Raw genomic sequence first — 19,637 nt, 5'->3', positions numbered from 1 at the left:
TGTTGGCCATGGAAGTTAAAAGCTAACTTAGCCCAAGGAATGCAAATTAGATGCTAGCAAAAATACAAATGGATATCATAGAAAGAATAAAGATGCAATTCCTACTGATTCTTGCTAAAACTTACACAGCCTTTTATAAGTTCAAATTATGCCTCACCTAGTTCTGCAAACCCACTCATTCAGCACCTATTGATTGGGCACTGTCTTTGTGCCAGGCACTGTGGTAGATGCTAGGGATATACTGTGAACAAGACAGTCCTTGCCCTCAAGGGAATTTAACATAAAGTTTAAGCGAATCATTCAGGGTCATATAGTTAGTTAGTGACAGATCTGGGGCTGTACCAAGGGATGGTCTGGTCTCCCTAGTGGCTGCCAAACATATGCCTGATGGCACACTGGAATTGTCGCATACTCTTAAATTGAGTAACTGTGATCTCAACAGGGGATATTTTCCTTGGGCCTCTATCTCCTTTTAAGATTAGGGTTATGATTTCTGAGGCTTTGCCATAATTTACTCTTTTTAATACTCTCCTTTGTATATCAAGAAAAATTTTCTTGTAGATTAGATTCAGATTTTCTCTCATTCATTGAGGCAGGAGTATAATCTGTGCTATAGTGTTATACTTGCATTCCTGAGAAGTCTTTTTATATAAATCACTTTAAAAATAATTATTTCAAAGAGTAAATAGGGGATTTGAGGCTGGGCCATTTCAAATCACAATAATAATTTTGCCTGCAGGCATTTCAATAATACTGGTGTTTTCATAGCTTTAAGTCTATAGATATAAAGCTAAATATCCCTGGGCAAATCCAGCCTTGATTACATCTTGCTTTTGATGAGGAGGAATGGCCTTTTTTTCCCTATCCTCCCAAGACTATCATTGGCACAAAGCTTTTTAGTCGTTTTTATCACATTTATCACCCATTGTTGGATAAACATATCACAAAGCCACTCAAAAAAGCTGAGAGCAAGTTTTTTCCCCTTTGTCTGATATGTTAGTTATAGCATTATAACCATGTGCATAATGAAAATCACATGTCCCATCATTTATTTGACAAATATTTTTTGATGCCTACCTAGTGATAGGCATTGAGCTAGGCAATGGGGATATACTAGTAAATAAGATAGACAAGTTTCTGCTGTCACAGAGCTTCCATTTCAGTAGAGGAGATAGTCCATAAACAGATAAACAAACATACAATATCATGTCACCTGATGGTAAGTGGTATGGAGCAAACCATGATAGGATCAGAGAATGGCCAGTAGCCAGATCATGGTGAGCCTCAGGAGTCATTGAAAGTACTTTGGATTTTATTCTGTGTGTGATGGAAACAATTAGAAGTTTTTGATCAGGAGAATGGCATAGTATGATTTATATTCTAGAAAACCTACTCTGGCTGCTGTAGAACAGACTCTAGAAGATTAAAAGGGATAGCTGGGAAAAATTAGGAGGCTATTGTAGCTTGAGTTGCTCTACAAAACCAAGCTTGAGACAAGAGCTTGTGTGTAGCCATTTATTTTAGGAAGTTATTGAAGGAATAGAAGTGGCGGAAAGGGAAGTGTTAGACAAGAAAGGACGCAAAGTCAATCTGGTGGGGTGGAAGATGCTGATAAACTCTGTAGGGCTCTGAGCCACTAGAGATCCTTTAAGAGGTCGGGTGGGGATACAGCTCTGATGTGCTCAGCTCCTGCCCCACATTGGTCCAGGCTGCCCATGGGGATAACTCTCTTGAACTGAGGGATGAGGCAGACTGAAGCAGAATGACTGAGCAATCCCCATAGGCATCCCACACTTCAAATAGCAGTTACAGAAGCAGGAGTTCTGTGAAGCAGCTGAGACTCAGTGAAGGACAGTTACATGCAAGAGGTATCCAATATAGATAAGCTGGTGGCATGCGAGATGATGGGAGGTTGAAGTTGGATGGCAGAGGAAGATGGTGAGGACTGGACAGATGCCCAGGTAATATGGTTTGGATTTATGTCCCTGCATAAATCCCATGTCAAATTGTAATACCCAGTGTTGGAGGAGGGGTCTGGTGGCAGGTAGGGGCAGATTTCCCCATTGCTTTTCTTGTGACAGTGAGGAGTTCTCATGAGATGTGTTTGTTTAAAAGTGTGTAGTGCCTCCTACTTCTCTCTCTTTCTCCTGCTCCAGCCATGTAATATGTACCTCTTTCCTCTTTCCCCTCTGCCATGGTTGTAAGATTCCTGAGACTTCCCCAGCCATGTTTCCTGTACAGCCTGCAGAAATGTGAGTCAATTAAACCTCTTTTCTTTATTGATTACCCAGCCTCAGGTAGTTTTTTATAGCAATGCAAGAATGGACTGATACATCAGATTACATCCAAATTAGTGAAAATTTGCACTGGAATAGAAATATCTATATTTCCATAGTGAGGGCAGGCCACTAATTTCATAATTACTTGCCTCTATGATGTTGTATTGGTCCATTTTCACGCTGCTGATAAGGAGATGCCTGAGAATGGGCAATTTACAAAAGAAAGAGGTTTAATATGGACTTACAGTTCCACGTGACTGGGGAAGCCTCCCAATCATGGCAGAAAGCAAAGAAGAGCAAGTCATGTCTTACATGGATGGCAGCAGGCAAAGAGGGAGAGCTTGTGCAGGGGAACTTCTCCTCTTTTTAAAACCATCAGATCTCCTGAGACTTATTCCTATCATGAGAACAGCATGGGAAACTTTTGCCCCCATGATTCAATTACCTCCCACTGAGTCCCTCCCACAACTCTTGGAAATTCAAGATGAGATCTGGATGGGGATACAGCCAAACCATATCAGATGTTGTCTTCATTCCATAGCCCTGTTCTCATTCATACTTACACAATTACCCATTTTGTGAGCATCAAAACTTAACATTTACAGTAAGGAAACTGATGAATGAAGAGTAAAAACCACAAGGAAACATAAGGTAACTATGAAAGGTGATAGATATGTTAATTTGCTTGACTCTAATCATTGCACTATGTATATGAATATCAAAACATCATGTATACCTTAAATATATACAGTAAAAATAAATGAATTAATTGAAAAAAGATTCAAGAACCCACAAACAAGTCTCTGTAGCCTTAGATGTCTTCTGTGTAATATATTTGATAGATTGTAGAGGTAAAGGAAGGTGAAGTAATGGGAACAAGCTTGAACTTGCTATATATTAGGACAGAAAAATTCATTTTGGTTTAGACAAATGTCTGAAAGGGTAGAAGACTTATGGGCAATGTCAAAAATGTCTGTTTAAAAGTCAAAAAACAAAAGATTATCCCTGCATTGGTCATGGTTATTCAAGTTTCTTATATCATGCTAACCCAAGGCCAGGAATACAATTTTCATGGCAAGAAACTCAACATTTTGAAAAACAGTATGTGTTAGGGTGTTTCTCAGGAAAAGAAGAACATCTGTAACTTGTCAAAAAATATTTCCTTGTTGATGAAGTTGCCTAGGAGAGTGATTCTGGAGAACAGCAATCCAAAGAATGCTGTCAAAACCCTCGGTAAGGAGGTTGAAGAGAAATGCATTATGGTGTCAGAGGTAGCTGTGCATCTCCTGGGAAGTATTTCAGAGTATTTTCACAGAAGCATTGTCTGTCTTGCCTAGAACCTGGCCCTTCTGCATTTCTGTCATTCTCTACAGTCACTGTAAGCTTTCTGTTAAAACTCACTTAGGCAAAGTGACAATAATAATGCTAATAGCAATAATAATAATTTCCATTTAATGAGTCCTCTTTTGTGCAAGCATTATGCAAATCCCTATGCATACATATGCATTGATAAAGAAAAAATGTTTTCTTAGTAGATGATGAGAGAATTCTTTGTGGAGAGACATTTTTTTTGCTGAAAAGTTAGTTTCTTCAACCCACTGAGGTATAGAAGGAAACCTCTGGGGCTTGGGCAGGGCAGGTTTAAAATGAGGAGGGTTCTTTGTAGTAGAAAGTGGGGCAAAAGGAGCTGATAGAGGATACTAGCCTGCCATACATGAAGGGCGAGGAAAGAACTGGCATCACATGGCTAGAACCAGGAGAAGCGACTTGGCAATAAGACTTGTCCAAAGGGGACTCTTGTTTTTTTGTTTTTTGTTTTTTTTTTTGAGAAGGAGTTTCACTCTTGTTGCCCAGGCTGGAGTGCAATGATCTCTGCTGTGTTTTAGTTTTTCTCCACTTTCAAGTCCTGGTCCACTCTGGGCCCTATTCTGTGCCCTGGGATGTTGACTTCTATGTCCAATGTCACCTGGGATCCTTTGACCTATGACTTCCAGTTGAGTTTGATCTATAAGTACTGACAGGCAACCTCCGCCTCCCGGGTTCAAGCGATTCTCCTGCCTCAGCCTCCCAAGTAGCTGGGATTACAGGCATGTGCCACCACTCACAGCTAATTTTGTATTTTTAGTAGAGACGGGGTTTCTTCATGTTGGTCAGGCCGGTCTCGAACTCCCCAACCTCAGGTGATCTGCCCACCTCTGCCTCCCAAAGTGCTGGGATTACAGGCCTGAGCCACTGCACCTGGCCTAATGGGGACTCTTTTAAGAAAACCATTTGTGCTCCTTGTTTAGTGAATCCTCCGGGTGAAAGTCATGCCTTTAAGTGAAAGTGCTGTCTGCTCTCAAGATGGACATGGAACTGAGGCAACAAGGGCTTTGCAGATATGGAGGAGAGAAGCTAACTGGTTTACTCTCAAAAGGCAATGGGGTGAGTGGTTAATAATATGGATTTGAATCCTACCTCTGCTGTGTTTTAGTTTTTCTTCACTTGTAAGTCCTTGTCCATTCTGGGCCCTATTCTGTGCCCTGGGATGCTGATCTCTATGTCCAATGTCACCTGGGATCCCTTGACCTATGACTTCCAGTTGAGTTTGATCTATGAGAAGTACTGACAGAAGATTAGAGGCAGAGAGAAAAGAGAGGTCAGGATATTAATCCCCTTTCTTCTTTCTTGCCAAGCTGTGGTTTTGGCAGTGGCTGGGTTTCTCTATGACCATCTCTCACATGTGTACATGGTTTCAGCTATACTGGTCTCTCTTTTTGTCCCTTCTGGCTGAGAGGTGAGAATGACTCTATTGGGTAGTCCCTGGATCTGCCATGATATTAGTCGGTCTTCATACTGCTATAAAGATTCTACCTGAGACTGGGTAATTTATAAGAAAAGGAGATTTAATTGACTCACAGTTCTGCATGGCTGGGGAGGCCTCAGGAAACTTACAATCATGGTGGAAGAGGAAGCAAGCACCTTCTTCACGGGTGGCAGCAGAGGGAGCGCATGTGAAGGAGGAACTGTCAAACCCTTATAAAACCATCAGATCTCATGAGAACTCACTCACTATCAGGAGAACAGCATGGGGGAAGCTGCTCCCATGATCCAATCACCTCCCATCAGGTCCCTCCCTCGACACATGGGGATTATGGGGATTATAGTTCAAGATGAGATTTGGGTGGGGACAGGGAGCCAATCCATGTCAGTCACTATTAAACATTCTCAGTTCCCCCTTTGAACATGTCTGCCTCCCTGTCTTAGTCTGTTCACAGTGCTAAAACATGTATACCTTAAATGGAGTCTGTTCAAAGTGCTAAAATAAATATACCTTAAACTGGGTGGCTTGTAAAAAAAAAACCAGAAATGTATTTCTTACAGGTATGGAGGCTGGAAAGTCTAAGATCAAGGTGCTGGCAGATTTGTGTCTCGTGAGAGCCTGCTACTTCTTAGAGAGCACCTTCTCACTGTGTCCTCACACAGTAGAGGGGGCAAGTGGTCTTGCTTTGGTTTCTTTTATAAGGGTACTAGTTCCATTCATGAGGGCTTCATCCACATGACCTAATCACCTCCCAAGGGACCCACTTCCTAATACCATTGCCTTGGAAGTTAGGATTTTGATATATAAATTTTGGAGGAACATAAACTTTCAGTCCATTGTACTCCCTGACTGTTGCAGTGAGTGACCTTGAGCAAGTTACTTAACTGTTTTGTGCCTCTGTAGTCTCATCTGCAAAACGAAGTTGATAATAGTGTATACCATATGGGATTGATTGTTGGAGGATTAATTAACATATATAAGGTACTTTGCATGCAATAAGTGTTAGCTACTATTATAAATTCAGTTTCTTATTTAATCCTTAAAACTATAATGTAGGCATTTTCTTATTTTATATATGGGGAAACTAAGACATAATAAAATTTAGATGATAGAGTTGTGATTCAAAAACCAAGTCTGATTTGAAAGTTATTTTTTACCTCATTGTATTAAATGAGATTTCTCCTCTAGTTAAGGGGCAGAGAACAAATGGTAAGATTAATAGCTAGCAAAAAAACTACTGAAATACTCTAGTGATGATGGAGTACGGAATAGATTTGTTTTGAGAGAAACCAATCTCCTCAAAATGACTTTGGACAGTAAAAAGAACATTGATCAATGTCATGCCAATCATGCCATGAAAAATGGCTCTTTCCCCCCTCAAAAAGAGCTTGTCACTTATATTTTTATTTATTTTTTAAGCCAACTGATTTTTTCTTTGGCCTCAGGGGACTTTCCCTTTTAGTATGCTTTTGTGTCCTCAAACATTGATTCTAGAAAAGGACGATTTTCACCTTCCCTATTGCTCACTGGAAAAGTCTGAAATCCTGTGATTAACCAAATAATTATCACTCTCATTTTCCAAGGTAGGGCTTTTGTACTGAAGGTAGAATGGAAAAAGTGAAACTGGAAAGTCTCAGTTTCACATTAAACCTTCCTTTAGAAGGTTTTGTGTTGTTTGAGGGAAGACAAGGAGACAATGCATGTAATCAAGCTTGATTTGTCTAAGTCAGTGATACAGGATCTCCTGAAACCTCTTTGGAAGGAAATAAATTCTTCTTGGCTTCTACAGCATGAAGGAGGCATTATTTTTCAGACTGAAAACAAAATGATGGGCCCCAGACAAAGATAACTTGGGAATCTGTGCATGCCAAGTTCTGTCGAACAGTCTCCCCTAAGGCAGCTGGACCAGAAGGAGGAAGTGTAAAGCAGCTGTGTTAGAAAGGAGATTGGCCAGAGCTGTTAGGAACAATGTTTCTCTACAAGAAGGCACACTGAGGGTAGAAACTGGTAATTAATTACATTCAAATTGAGTAAATGAATATATATTACTTTTATATATATTCATATGTATTATGAATATACATATGTTATTTTTCTTCCTGGGAGATTACATGAAGATTCTCCCAGGAAGAAAAATAATTCACTTGAAAAAAAATAGAGGAAAGATTTGGTGGCATGGGAGAAAAACCAAGCCTAACACATTTGATTTTATGAGGTTTTGGACAGAGGTCATCATTCACTTGACTCTGTATAAAACATATCCAATTCACCAACTTCCTTTCCTTTCCTTTTCCTTTCCCCTTCCCTTTCCCTTTTTCTTTTCCTTTTTCTTCTTCTTTTCCTTTTCCTTTTTTTTTTTTTTTTTAACAGGATCTCACTCTGTTGCCCAGGCTGGAGTGTGGTGGCGCAATCATGGCTCACTGTAGCCCAGACTTCGCGGGCTTAGGTGATCCTCCCACCTCAGCCTCCGAGTAGCTGGGACTGCAGGCGTACACTACCAAACCTAGCTAACTTTCTGTATCTTTTGTAGAGACAAGGTTTCACCATGCTGCCCTGGCTGGTCTCAAACTCCTAGGCTCAAGTGATCTGCCCGCCTAGGTATCCCAAAGTGTTGCGATTACAGGTGTGAGCCACCACGCCCAGCCCTCTTTTCTTTTCATATCCCCGCCAAACCTGGCCAGTGTGTAGTGGTGCCCATGTTAGCACACATAGGGTAATTGTGATAAGAAACAATCTTTGCATCTCAAGACAAGCACAGTAAAGCTTATATTGTGCTCACTTGTAGACCAATACAGAGCAGTAGAATAGATTTCCCAAATTTGTTTCCTTTTATCTTAAAATTTTTTTAAGCCATCCTTTTTTTCCCTCTCCCCAATGACAGGAGCGCTACAATCAGGAACTGTCCTTGTCAGTGTGCCTGTCATCATTATCAGCATCATCACTAACAGGTGGATGAGAGCAACCACCATTTATTGCGTGTTACTTTGTGTCAGTTACCACAGCAAACATTTCACATAGATTGTCTCATTGATCCTTTATAAGGAATGATCATTAAATGGAATATGTCATTGGTTCCTACTTAATAGATTAGGAAACTGAGGCTTAGAATCACATAGCCATTAAAGCAGACCTGGAACGCAGACCCATATTTGTTGAAATCCTAAGTTTATATTCATTACCACTTTTCCATAGTGCCCTAATATGTCTTAAACATGGAACAAAATTGAAAAAGGTAGAAGGTAAATGATCAATTCAATTCACTTTCCACTTAGAATAAAAGGGAGAAAGCACTAGAAGATTTAGTCAATTCTTAGGGGTTGAACCCAGTATCATCATGGTCCCTAACCGCTGCAACCTGAGTTTAGCAACACATACAACTATCTCTTTTCCATATTGACCTAGAAGTGAAACTCAGGCCTTTTTTGGGTTTGCACAAGGCCATACTCACACAAAGCCATGTATGTATTTATTAGATTTTACTGAAATGTTGAGATGTGGTTAGGGGATAGAAGAACAGTTTATATTGCCCAAAAACAAAGAACTGTAAGTTGAACCTCAGGTGCCCCTATCCCCAGGACTTTGTATTGGTTGCTTGGCCCTAGCCTCAGGCCATCTCCTCTCCTGGCCACCTTCCCCTTCTGTCCTGGATGGTTATTCAAACTCTAACTTTTCCTTATTCTATTAAGTAGGATCATTCAGTGTTCTCTCATTTCACACTCTGCTTCATGCCCACCTTTTTGCACATGAATCCATCAAGGTGCCCAACAGAGCAACAGGCGTGTCTGCTTAACAGATTCCACCTTCCTTAGAAGACATTAGAGATTTCCTGTACTACCTTCTCTGGAGCCAGTGCCCTGGAGAGATTGGATCTATTCCTGCAAGGATCTAGCAGAGCCTAAGATCAGCGTTAATGGTAACTCCAGCATCTCACACGTCTCCCGACAGCTCGGATTAAGCAGATTCCCTGGAGACTAATTTGACTGAAGTCTGGGTCTGTGTCTCTACCTCCCACTGACTCTGGGTTAGGCTGGGGTTTCTGGAACCCAGGAGACTGCTTTGGGTTTCTAGGCTCCTTAAAGGGCATTTGGCACCTAGTAAAAGCTGCTCATTAAAGGAAACAGTAGGACTGCTTTCCCTTTAATAGCCTAGCCATGGAAAGCTTGATCCATTTGGGGAGGCTGGAGGTGGAAGACTGCAGAGTTTGAGAGGGTGGGACGAGCCTGTTTGGCAAGGCGATAGCAAGGCTGCAGAGGGAAGACCAGGCCTCTGGAGCCCTGAGGCCTGGTCCTCGGTGGTCAGGAAAAGCCCAGGGAAGGCTCTGTAAAAAATAATGATAGCAGCTAAACGTTCAAGGGCCCAGTTTGGAGCTGCAATTCCAGATTTTACTTTTTTTCTCCTCACTCTTGAGGTTTGGCTCACTGCTATTTCCCCTCCCCTAAGGTCCTGTTGACACATGAGTGTTATGAAGGCTTCCGGAGGGTGGGATGAAGGGCCGCAATGTCACAAAGGAAGGCTAATTGGCTGGAACTTCCCGCTCTGCCCCCTCCAGCTGGCCTGAATCTCTTTGGTTTTTAGTTATTCCTAAAGGGTCTTGGCATTGGTGGCCTGCCTCTCTTTTCAAAATAATTAAAACCAAAGAAATTCAAATGAGAGCCTTTCTCATTGTCAGTGCCGTTTTGCCTTTGTTTGTGAGGTTGGCGGAAGCAGAGTTCTGTTGGGACTTTTGAGTCTCCCTGGCTGGACCTGAACCAGTTAACTCCTCCTGCAGACTATGTCCAGGTTGTGACATCCCCTAAGGAGGAACGGCAAATTCTGGGCAGGCGAGTGGCTCCCAAACTTGTGGCAGATCATAATAATGGGCCGAGGCATTTATTTATTTATTTATTTTAACTTTTCCAGCTAAGCCTGGGCAAAGCCTCATGTTTCTTATTACTAGAACTGTCTCAGCAGCTACCAACAGGAAGCAATGTTGGTGCAGGGGTTGGAGTCTATTTAGTATCCTTGCCCTTGCCCTAAATTGCTCTAAAACTCAGAAGGCATTGCCTTCTTGGTAGGGGCTGGGCCACGGTTAATTGTGTCAATTTTAGGTTTGTTTCCAAATCCAAAAGAACCTCCTTTCTATGCCTTCAGGCTTCTTGTGCCTTCCTTCTTCTCTCTCCCATCTGCCTCCACTCTTCTTCTTCAAAATGCATCATTATAGCTTCTGAGGGGAGGCTCTCTGCTTTCTAAGATGCCTGCTACTGAGAATCCCAGTATTAGTGATGCAAAGTTTCACCCAGTCCAATTAAGGCACCCCCAGCCCAAAAGTTATACCACTTACAGACAAACTTTCGGGTTCGACCCTCAGCTAAAATGAAAAATATGTTACCTAGAAGGAATTGAGCCCATGACGGCGTTTCTGTAATGTTGAGTGAGTAGAGCAGAGTGATTTAGATTCAATGTACTAGGACCTGACACAGCTGGACTTAAATTGCAGCTGGACCACTTCCTTGCTGGATGACCTTCAGGAAGTTAATTAAACTTCTTTGAACATCTGCTTCCTAATCAGTGAAATGGAGAAAATAATAAAATCTTATCTTTTGTTGTGTTTTGAGGATAAAGTAAATTCATATCTCTAAGGCACTTGGCACATTTTGGCAAATTCTGGGCATGCGTGAGGCCCCTTTCTTCCTCAAACTTGTGGCAGACAATATTAATGAACAAAGCACTTAATAAAGTTGTGCTGATTTTATCCTCTACTTATTAACTACTTGAGAAAGAGGTGAAATTTGTTGTCCAAGGTCACATAGCTAATAAGACAGATTTAAGCTTTGGTTCTGTCTGCTGGATTTCAAAGACCATGTTCTTAAACACCTTGATGCTTCACGTTTGACCTTAAATAAGCTACTATGATTTTTAGCTTCCTGGAGGGAGAATGAGTTTCCTCACCAGTAAAATACAAATAATAAGCTCAATTTCATTGAGTTATTGTAAGGATTAAATGCATCATTGCTTGTAGAGTAGTGCTTGGTTAGAAACACATGCTATTGCATATTTATCATCATCATCAGTGTTATTGTTTTTATCTGAGTTCACTCCCTCTTCCCTATCATCTAGCACCGTAGTTGGCACATACCAGGTGTTCAGTATATGAGTAGCTCTTTTGAAGCAATATATGGCATTATTACTTCAGTAAGAGAGGCGGAATGAATGACTGTCAGGACTGCGTACTCTGGCTGACCTTCCAGTATCCTCATAAATAATTCCAGGAAATCTCTTTCTGGCTACCTAGGGAAAACCCTGGAGAAGAAGCTTAGCCAAGCAAGGATCAGAAGCTCTTCCCACTCCCAACAGAATCCCTGCTTTTTGTGACTATTCAGTAGAGGTTGGCCTTCTGAAGAGTCAGTGGATAAAAATTGAAGGAGAACTCATTAACTGTTGTGTCCCTATCTTTAACAGCCAATGCCTGGGATAGACAACTCATTTTGAGATTGTTAAGAGAGGTGTATTTTGTCAATAAGAGTTCTAAGAAAAGCAGAATTCCTTGAGCTTTTGCTTGAACTGTGCCCAGACAAATGCTAATACAGGATGTATTATCTGGATTCTTATACTTCCCCATCCCCATTAGCGGATCGCTATGATTCAGGCAGTCTTCCTTAAGCTCTGAGTGATCATTTCCTTCTTAAAAACATGTTAATTTCAGTGATGCCAACTTTATATTTCCAATGGGCAAATGACAGTGGTATTCCTTGCTTCTAGTCTGCACGTATCTGTTATTCTTCATGGTTCACCTATTTTTTTTTAATCAACTTTTTTCTAGATTACATTTTTTAGGGTAGTTTTAGATTCAGAGCAAACTTGAGAGGGAGGTACAGAGATTTGCTCCCACATATGCATCACCTCCTTCATTATCAACATTGCCCTCCAGAGTGGTACAACTGTTACAATTAATGAACTTAAAATGACACATCATAATCAACCATAGTTTACTTAGGGAAAGTTTACTTAGGGTCCATTCTTGGTGTTGTACATTTCATGGATTTGGACAAATGTATTGTGATGGTTAATACTGACTGTCAACTTGATTGGATTGAAGTATGCAAAGTATTGACCCTGGGTGTGTCTGTGAGGGTGTTGCCAAAGAAGACTAACATTTGAGTCAGTGGGCTAGGAAAGGCAGACCCACCCTTAATCTGGGTGGGCACCATCTAATCAGCTGCCAGTGTAGCTAGAATATAAAGCAGGCAGAAAAACGTGAAAAGAGTAGACTGGCTGAGCCTCCCAGCCTACATCTTTCTCCCGTGCTGGATGCTTCCTGCCCTCGAACATCAGACTCCAAGTTCTTCAGCTTTGGGACTTGGACTGGCTTCCTCGTTCCTCAGCTTGCAGACGGCCAATGTGGGACCTTGTGATTGTGTGAGTTAATAGTCCTTAATAAACTCCCCTTTATATATATATCTATCCTATTAGTTCTGTATATGTATATGATGACATGTACCCTCTGTGCTTGGCCTGTTTATTACTCTTCCCTCTCAGCCTCTGTCTTTTTACTGTCACCATATTTTTGCCCTTTCTAGAATGTTATGTAGTTGGAATCATATAATATGTAGACAAAATTTTTCTTGAAACTTTTAATTTCCAAATAATTGTAGATTTACAGAAAAGTTGGAAAGAGAGTGCTGACAGTTTCTGTATACTTTCGTGGTACATTTGTCAAAACTAAGAAATTGGTTTTGGTACAATACTATTAACTAAACTACAGGCTTTATTTGAATTTCATTAGTTTTTCCACTAGTATCTTTTTTGTTCTGTGGTCCAATCCAGAATATCACAGTTTCTGAGTTTTTCTTAGGTTTTCATGGCACTGACAAGATACTTTGCAGAAAGTATCTCTATTTGTTTTTTTAATGCACTTATTTATTTAAATAAATTTTTTAGTAGTTTTTGATTTACAAAAACTGCAAAAATAGAACAGAGAATTCCATACACCCCACATCAATTTTTCCTTATTCCTAACATTATCTTATATTATTGTGGAATATTTGTCACAATTAGTAAACCAATATTGATACATTATTATTAACTAAACTCTATAGTTTATAAATATTTTCTTATTTTTTTTTTTTTTACCTAATGCACTTTTTCTGTTCCAGAATCCCACCTAGGCTACCAAATGTAATGTACATTTAGTTGTCATATCTCCTTAGGCTCCTGTGGTCTGTGACAGTTTCTTAAGCTTTCCTTATTTTTGATGACCTTGACAGTTTTGAGGAGTACTAGACAGGTATTTAGTAGAATGTCCCTTAATTGAGATTCATCTTATGTTTTTCTCATGATAAGACTGGGGTTATGGTTGTTTGGTAGGAAGACAACAGAGGTAAAGTGCCACTCTTGTTACATCATATGAAAGGTAAATATTATCATTATTTATCACTGTTGATGTTGACCATGTGCCCTGGCTGAAGTAATTATTCTTCATATTTCTCCACTGTAATGTCACTCCTCCCTCTCTCATCTTTCTTATCCTGTAATCTTTATAAAAATGTCATTTAAGGACTGAGGAGTCATGTTCCACCTCCTTGAGGGCAGAGTATCTAAATATATTATTTGGAATTCTTTCACATGTAATATTTGTGTTATCACTCCTGCTTATTTATTGATTGATCATTTATTTATATCTAAATAGACTCATTGATATTAATTTTATAACTCAAGACTACTTTAATTATTCTGTTGCTCAAATTGTTCTAACTTTGGTCACTGGGAGCTCCGTCACTTGGCTCCTGTAGGTCCATCATTTTGTATTTAGTTTTTTCACTCCTTGTTTTCTGGTACTACAAGATGATTCAAACTCATCTTGTGTAATTCTTGCCCCAATTCTGAAATCAGCCATTTCTCTATGAAGCTCTGGCTCTTTTTATTAGAGACTGGTATTAGAAACCAAGATCTGGGTGCTAAGAGTGCCCATTGCTATTGGGGTGTTATTTTTCTAGCCCCCTCAGCTGAGTGAGCAAGGAAATATATGTGTGTATACTAACCTATGTATCAATTAATATTCCTATTGTTAACATCTATATCTGTATTGTGCCAAACAGGAATTTGTCTCAATTTCTCTGGTTCTAAATACAAAAATTATTGAGGCATGGTGGCATGCATCTGTAATCCCAGCTACTCAGGAGGCTGAGGCAGGAGGATCACTTGTGCCTGGGAGGTGGAGGTTGCAATGAGCCAAGATTGCACCACTGCACTCCAGGTTGGGCACAGAGTGAGATTCCGTCTCCAAAAAAGAAAAGAAAAAAAAAAGATTATCTGTTCCATGGGAAGGAAATTATTTCCGTCTCTACTGGACAAAAATGTTCCAGGAGAGCTTTAAAATAGCTTATATAATAAAGACCAGTACTGTACTGGGAAAATATTCCATAATTGCTTTTCAAGTTTCAGATACTTTCTGATACTGAGTTGATAAAAAAAAATGAAGTGTAGGTGTCTAACAAAAATACATAATTGGGAATAGGACAAAAATTGGCAAAGAGATAACATTAAGAGAGGAAAGGGCTAGCCAGAGCCCCTTACTAATTAAACCAAGGTCATGGGTCTACCTGCTATAAGCCAGAGAAAAGACAGCTCTCTGATGTTCCCCACTGTGATGTGTCTGGCTAAGCTCATTTTCAATATATATCACTTGAAAAGGTGATAAGTTTGTGTTAATGGTGATAGAATAACAAATCCCCACCAAACTGCCTGTCACTAGAGCTGGTATTCCCAATCTTTTGAAACACACACATTCAAGAGCTGGGGGACTAAGAACACAAAGAGAGCTCTTTAGGCTAGAACAGGGCTCAGAGCAGAACAGAATTAGAAGGTCAACCATGGAAAAGTCAGAAACTTGCTCCTGCTTCTAGCTTGCTTTGACTTTTTTTGGTTAATCTCCCTATCATGTTTTTGCATTTTAGGTAGAGGTCCTTTTGAAATGTGTAACCTTTGTTCCTTCATCTGCATTGCAGCAGCAGAGAAAAGGGCACATTAAATCTCCATAGGTGGCATTGGAATTATCATGAAAGAAATCCTAGGAAGGGAGGAAAATATCAGAGGCCAAAAGTTGAGGTTACTTTTGTGGCTGGGTCGTCCCAAGAGCTGCCCTTCCTAGGAGCACATCTCTGCCCTGGTTTTACAAGGAAAACTTTATAATTGGTTCTTTTAAGGGGTGATTCCCTGACTGTGTCTTTATATAGAGCTGGAGTTGAGATCCTTTTTGCCTGAATCATGATCTGTCAGTCAAGAAGCAGGCTGTAGGATCTTTCCCCCATATATTAATACTATTAATAGAAAACAGCTTTGTTTGTTTGTTTGAAAGGGTGTTGGAAACAGAATCCCTTCACTGGTCTCAAATTCAGGCAGTGTTCTCTATTGACAAGTGTTCTCTCTTGAACCATTTTCATTTTCCCAGTGAGGTCACCACTTGCCTCCCTGGGAGGCCTCCCACATAGGGGAACATCACACCATCTTTCTCAGCCCTGGTGATCCTATCTGGCTGCCCTGGCAAGTGTCCTGAGCCTGAGACATGGTAAGAGCAGATATGGCTCCTCCTTGTCTCACCCACAAAGATGTGAATCTCAGCACTTTGAGTGATGGTTTTGTGGTTTGCACATGGTGAGAAGTGCTTATGGCAGCAAAGGAGCATTGTTTCATTCGAGGGTGCTTCATAAAACACAAATGTCAGGTTTAAGGCTGCAAAAACTTTGAGGAATTTTTCCATTTTCATCAGTATTGCTTTGTTATAAATTACCATAATGATTAGCATCTGGAAAATTCTAGGGACCAAAAGCACGAATATTCTACATATCACAAAAATGCAATGTCATATCTATACCCAGATACTATTTTTTTATTATTTACACCACCACCACTGCCAGCACAGAAAACAACAAAACTGCCTATAGCTGCATAAAAATGTCTCCTTCATATTTCTCAAGATTCTACTTACAGAATATTTTTCTGAATTAAGAAATCTCTCCAAAATTATAAGTTATCCTCTAAATTGAAGCCCATGAGACATAAATCATTCATGCTTCAGTCTTGTTTAATTATATAACTTGCTTTTTTCTTTCCATCATCCTTCTGAGAATTGGCCCCTAGGGAATTGGAAACTTTTATCAGAAAGGAGTGGGGTGGGGGTTTGGGGTGGGAAGGACTTGAATTGGGAAATACTGGACCATATCATAGGATCCTTTCAGCCTTTAGACTTTTTTCTTGTTCAAAATATCCTTTACTTACAAATGTATGCCCTATATGTAAGCCAATCTAGAGTATAATATGTGGTTACATTAATACACACAGGAGGATAGTCACTTAAAACAAACACCCAGTCAGGCTCTGGAATTAAATTTAAGTAGTGGTAAGAGAGCAGTTCCAAGTGAATGGTTTATTGTTTCGTGTGTGGCTCCTAAAGGGATTTCAAGCTATTGGTAGCTGTGACTACAGAGTGAGTCAAAAAGTAGGAGGGGAAAAGTGATGTCCTAACTTCTAAGATGCTTACAGGCAATCAACATGTAGCATATTCCACATCTTCCTCATCCCATGATAAGGTCTGTCACCCTTTTACATTACCCTGTTCAACACTCACTCTTGGATTGTTTGATCCATCCATTAATACATTCATCCATCCATTCATTCATTCATTCATTCATTCATTCATTCTCAAGCAGTTATACATTATAATTTTTAAATGGCAAACAACAGAAGCTGACTTTGATTAACTTAAAATTAAAAAGGGATGTAGTAGAAAATTAACAGGGAACTGAATAACAAAGCTGTGACGGTTTGCAGATATGACCATATTTTTCCACCCTCTCTGCATCCACACCCTTTGGAACATGACTTTGCAACTCCTCCTATCAAGAAGGAGAACCTAGTTTTCACCCTCTTCAATCTAGGCTGATCCTATAACTTACTTTGGCCAATAGAATGCAGTGGAAATGGTGATATACCCAGTCTGAGTGTAGGCCTCAACAGGTCTTGTGTATTTCTATTCTCTTTCTTGGAAATCTGCCCAACTGCATGTGAATAAGCTCAGGCTAGAATGCTGGAAAACAGCAAGACCCAGGTGAAGCCACCCTAGACCAGCAAGTTTCCTGTTCACCAACAGTCAGTTGTAGATGCATGTGTGAATCCCTCCAAGACAAGAGAAATGCCCAGCCTAACCAAGTTCAAATTGCATGTCTCTAAAATTTTGAGATAAACAAATAGATATTATTGTATACTACGATTATTTGTTACACAGCAAACACTCACTGGTTCAAAACATTGAGAAGAATAGACTCTAGGAACCAGGGCACTTGTAGCTCTTCTAGAGTGCTGCCACCAGGTAACATAGCTCCAGTTGCCTTTTATTCTTTTTGAATCCTCTTCATTCCTGGGTACAAAAAAAAATTGATTGGTCTATCTTGGGTCATATGCCCTCCCCTAGGATAGCGATGGAGTCCTCTGGTTGAGTAGCTTTACCTAAACCACAAGGAGCAGAGAAAGGACAGTTCCTTAAAGGATAGTAGCAGCTGCTATTTCCATGAATAGGGAAGAAGAGGTCCTGTATAGACAAAACATATGTCTGCTATAAGCATTTACTCTGTGTACTTACTCAGGGAGAGTAAGACATTCACTTTCAGCAAGGAAGTCCTGGTCTATTAAGGAGTCAGGTAAGCCATGGTGTCAGGCAAGTAACAGTGTGGCTACTGCTGTCACAAAGGGGCCAGAGATAGCTTTGAGAGCTGGAGGAGGACAACTAACCCAGAATGAATACCAGGAAGATTTTTGGGGAGATGGCATTGGAACCGAGCTCTGTGAGATAAATAATGAGCTAGGTGAAGGAGTAGCAGTGGTGAGGGACACAGGAGGCCTTTTTAGGCACTCGGATTTTAGCATGAGTGAAAACCTGGAGTGAGAGTCTTCATCTGTCACCATGGGCCAAATATAAACCATGTTTATGCCTGGTTTGGCCTAATTTCTCTAAAAAAAAATGAGATAACTCAATTCACAGACTCTACTAGTTCCTACTGTTTCATCTCCTCCAGTTCTCACACTTGTTATCATTGGCTTGGTCCTTGTAGGCACCTGAGTTTGCCACTCTTAGCTAAGAGGCCAGAGAGCATCACTGTGGTTAGAGTGGTAGAGAGGGTATGAGAAGGTAAGGGAGAAGGGTTTGAGGCTGAATAGCTAGTGGGGAATTATGGAGAACCTTGTATGCTTGCTAAGAAACATGTACTTTCTCTTATAAACAATGCAGAACTATTACAGGTATTTGAGCAAGGGTGGTAGTCATGCTTAGACTTCAAAAGGATCAGTCTGGTAGCAAGTAGAAGATGGATGGCAAGGGCAACAAAGGAGGCAGGTAGAACAATTAGGAAGTGATTTTTGTTTTCTAGATAATAAGTACTGGCTTTAACTAAAGGGAGTGGGATGAGGAAATGGTGAGGATGGGACACATCTTTTCATGATGTCCTCCAGGGAGATGTGGAGATGTTGGTTGCTTCTATCTTTAAAAACTACTGTTGTTTCCTTAGAGCAAAAACATAATTCAAAAGGCCTTTTGCATCTGATAACAGAACTTCCCTATGTCAAAAGAAGACACATCTGTTCTGGAGAAATTGGTGATAAGCTTTAGTCTACATGATGCTGAGACACAAAATCCCTCCTCAGTCTTGCTAGGAAAAATAAACGGCTCCCTTGGACCAAATCAACTTGCCAGAGACCACAGCACTTTCCACACCACTTAGAGTCATGGATGGAGGGCTGTCAAAGGTCGGCCCCGAACTAGAAGCAGATGGGAAAGGATTCTTGCCAGAGACATCATCCAAACCTCTTGCTATTTAGCGATCAGAGGTTGAATGTTCAGAGAAAGTGCATCTGATGCCTTATTCACAACTGGATCAACTGAAATAACAATGAAAGGCGGTGTCTGCCTCAAGAGGGATAAATGGAGCAGCTGCCAGGAGATTCGTGTTTGCCTTCTGGGGAGAGGGTAACGGGAAAGGGCAGTGTCCTTACTCAAAAGGGTTTGGAAAGAAAGCAAAGAGAAAGCATTGATATGAGAGTTCTTTTTCTATGTCATAGAGTAGGCATGATGGGGAGGGTGTATATGAGTTGGGATGGTAAAGAAAAAGTATGAATTTATGATGGAGAGAGATCAATTTTTTGTTAGCTAGTTTTTTTTAAAAACAAGTATCAGTAGTTCAATTAATATGTTGCATGTCTGTTACAAGCATGAAAAGTTATAGCAGAGTGTATGACCCTTTTACTCTGGTTGGGAAGCCCAGACATTTGCATGGAAAAATGCCAATAATAATACAAGGAATAAAGGCTAATGGTGCAATCAGAATCCATTGGTGGTGATAAAAGGAGGAGGTGTTTAAGGGAAGCAATTTGGCAACAAATCTCAATTTTAGACTTGTTTTTAATCTCCAAATGATGCCATTGAGTCACAGAGCTTCAGGGAAAGGATTGAAAGAAGGTGTACATCAGAGAGCTCTACAGTTTTGTCTCCTTACTAGGCCACCTTGCCAACACAATGTGTTCACAATCCA

The 19,637-nt window shown here is 40.4% G+C and overlaps 2 annotated features.

Moving 5' to 3' along the window:
- Positions 9,433–10,189: an enhancer, noted in NCBI's record as "H3K27ac-H3K4me1 hESC enhancer chr11:27269778-27270534 (GRCh37/hg19 assembly coordinates)". NCBI's record gives its function as "activates a minimal SCP1, AML or CMV promoter by ChIP-STARR-seq in naive H9 embryonic stem cells {active_cell/tissue: H9 hESC(naive)}" and the evidence as "EXISTENCE:reporter gene assay evidence [ECO:0000049][PMID:30033119]".
- Positions 15,565–15,803: a silencer, noted in NCBI's record as "fragment chr11:27264164-27264402 (GRCh37/hg19 assembly coordinates)". NCBI's record gives its function as "represses an EF-1alpha promoter that drives an FKBP-Casp9 reporter gene in an ReSE screen in K562 erythroleukemia cells {active_cell/tissue: K562}" and the evidence as "EXISTENCE:reporter gene assay evidence [ECO:0000049][PMID:32094911]".

The sequence above is a fragment of the Homo sapiens genome, chromosome 11 (assembly GCF_000001405.40).
Source record: "Homo sapiens chromosome 11, GRCh38.p14 Primary Assembly".
NCBI lineage: Eukaryota > Metazoa > Chordata > Mammalia > Primates > Hominidae > Homo > Homo sapiens.
Note: the sequence above shows the minus strand (reverse complement) of the source record. Positions and strands in the feature narration are given on the sequence as shown.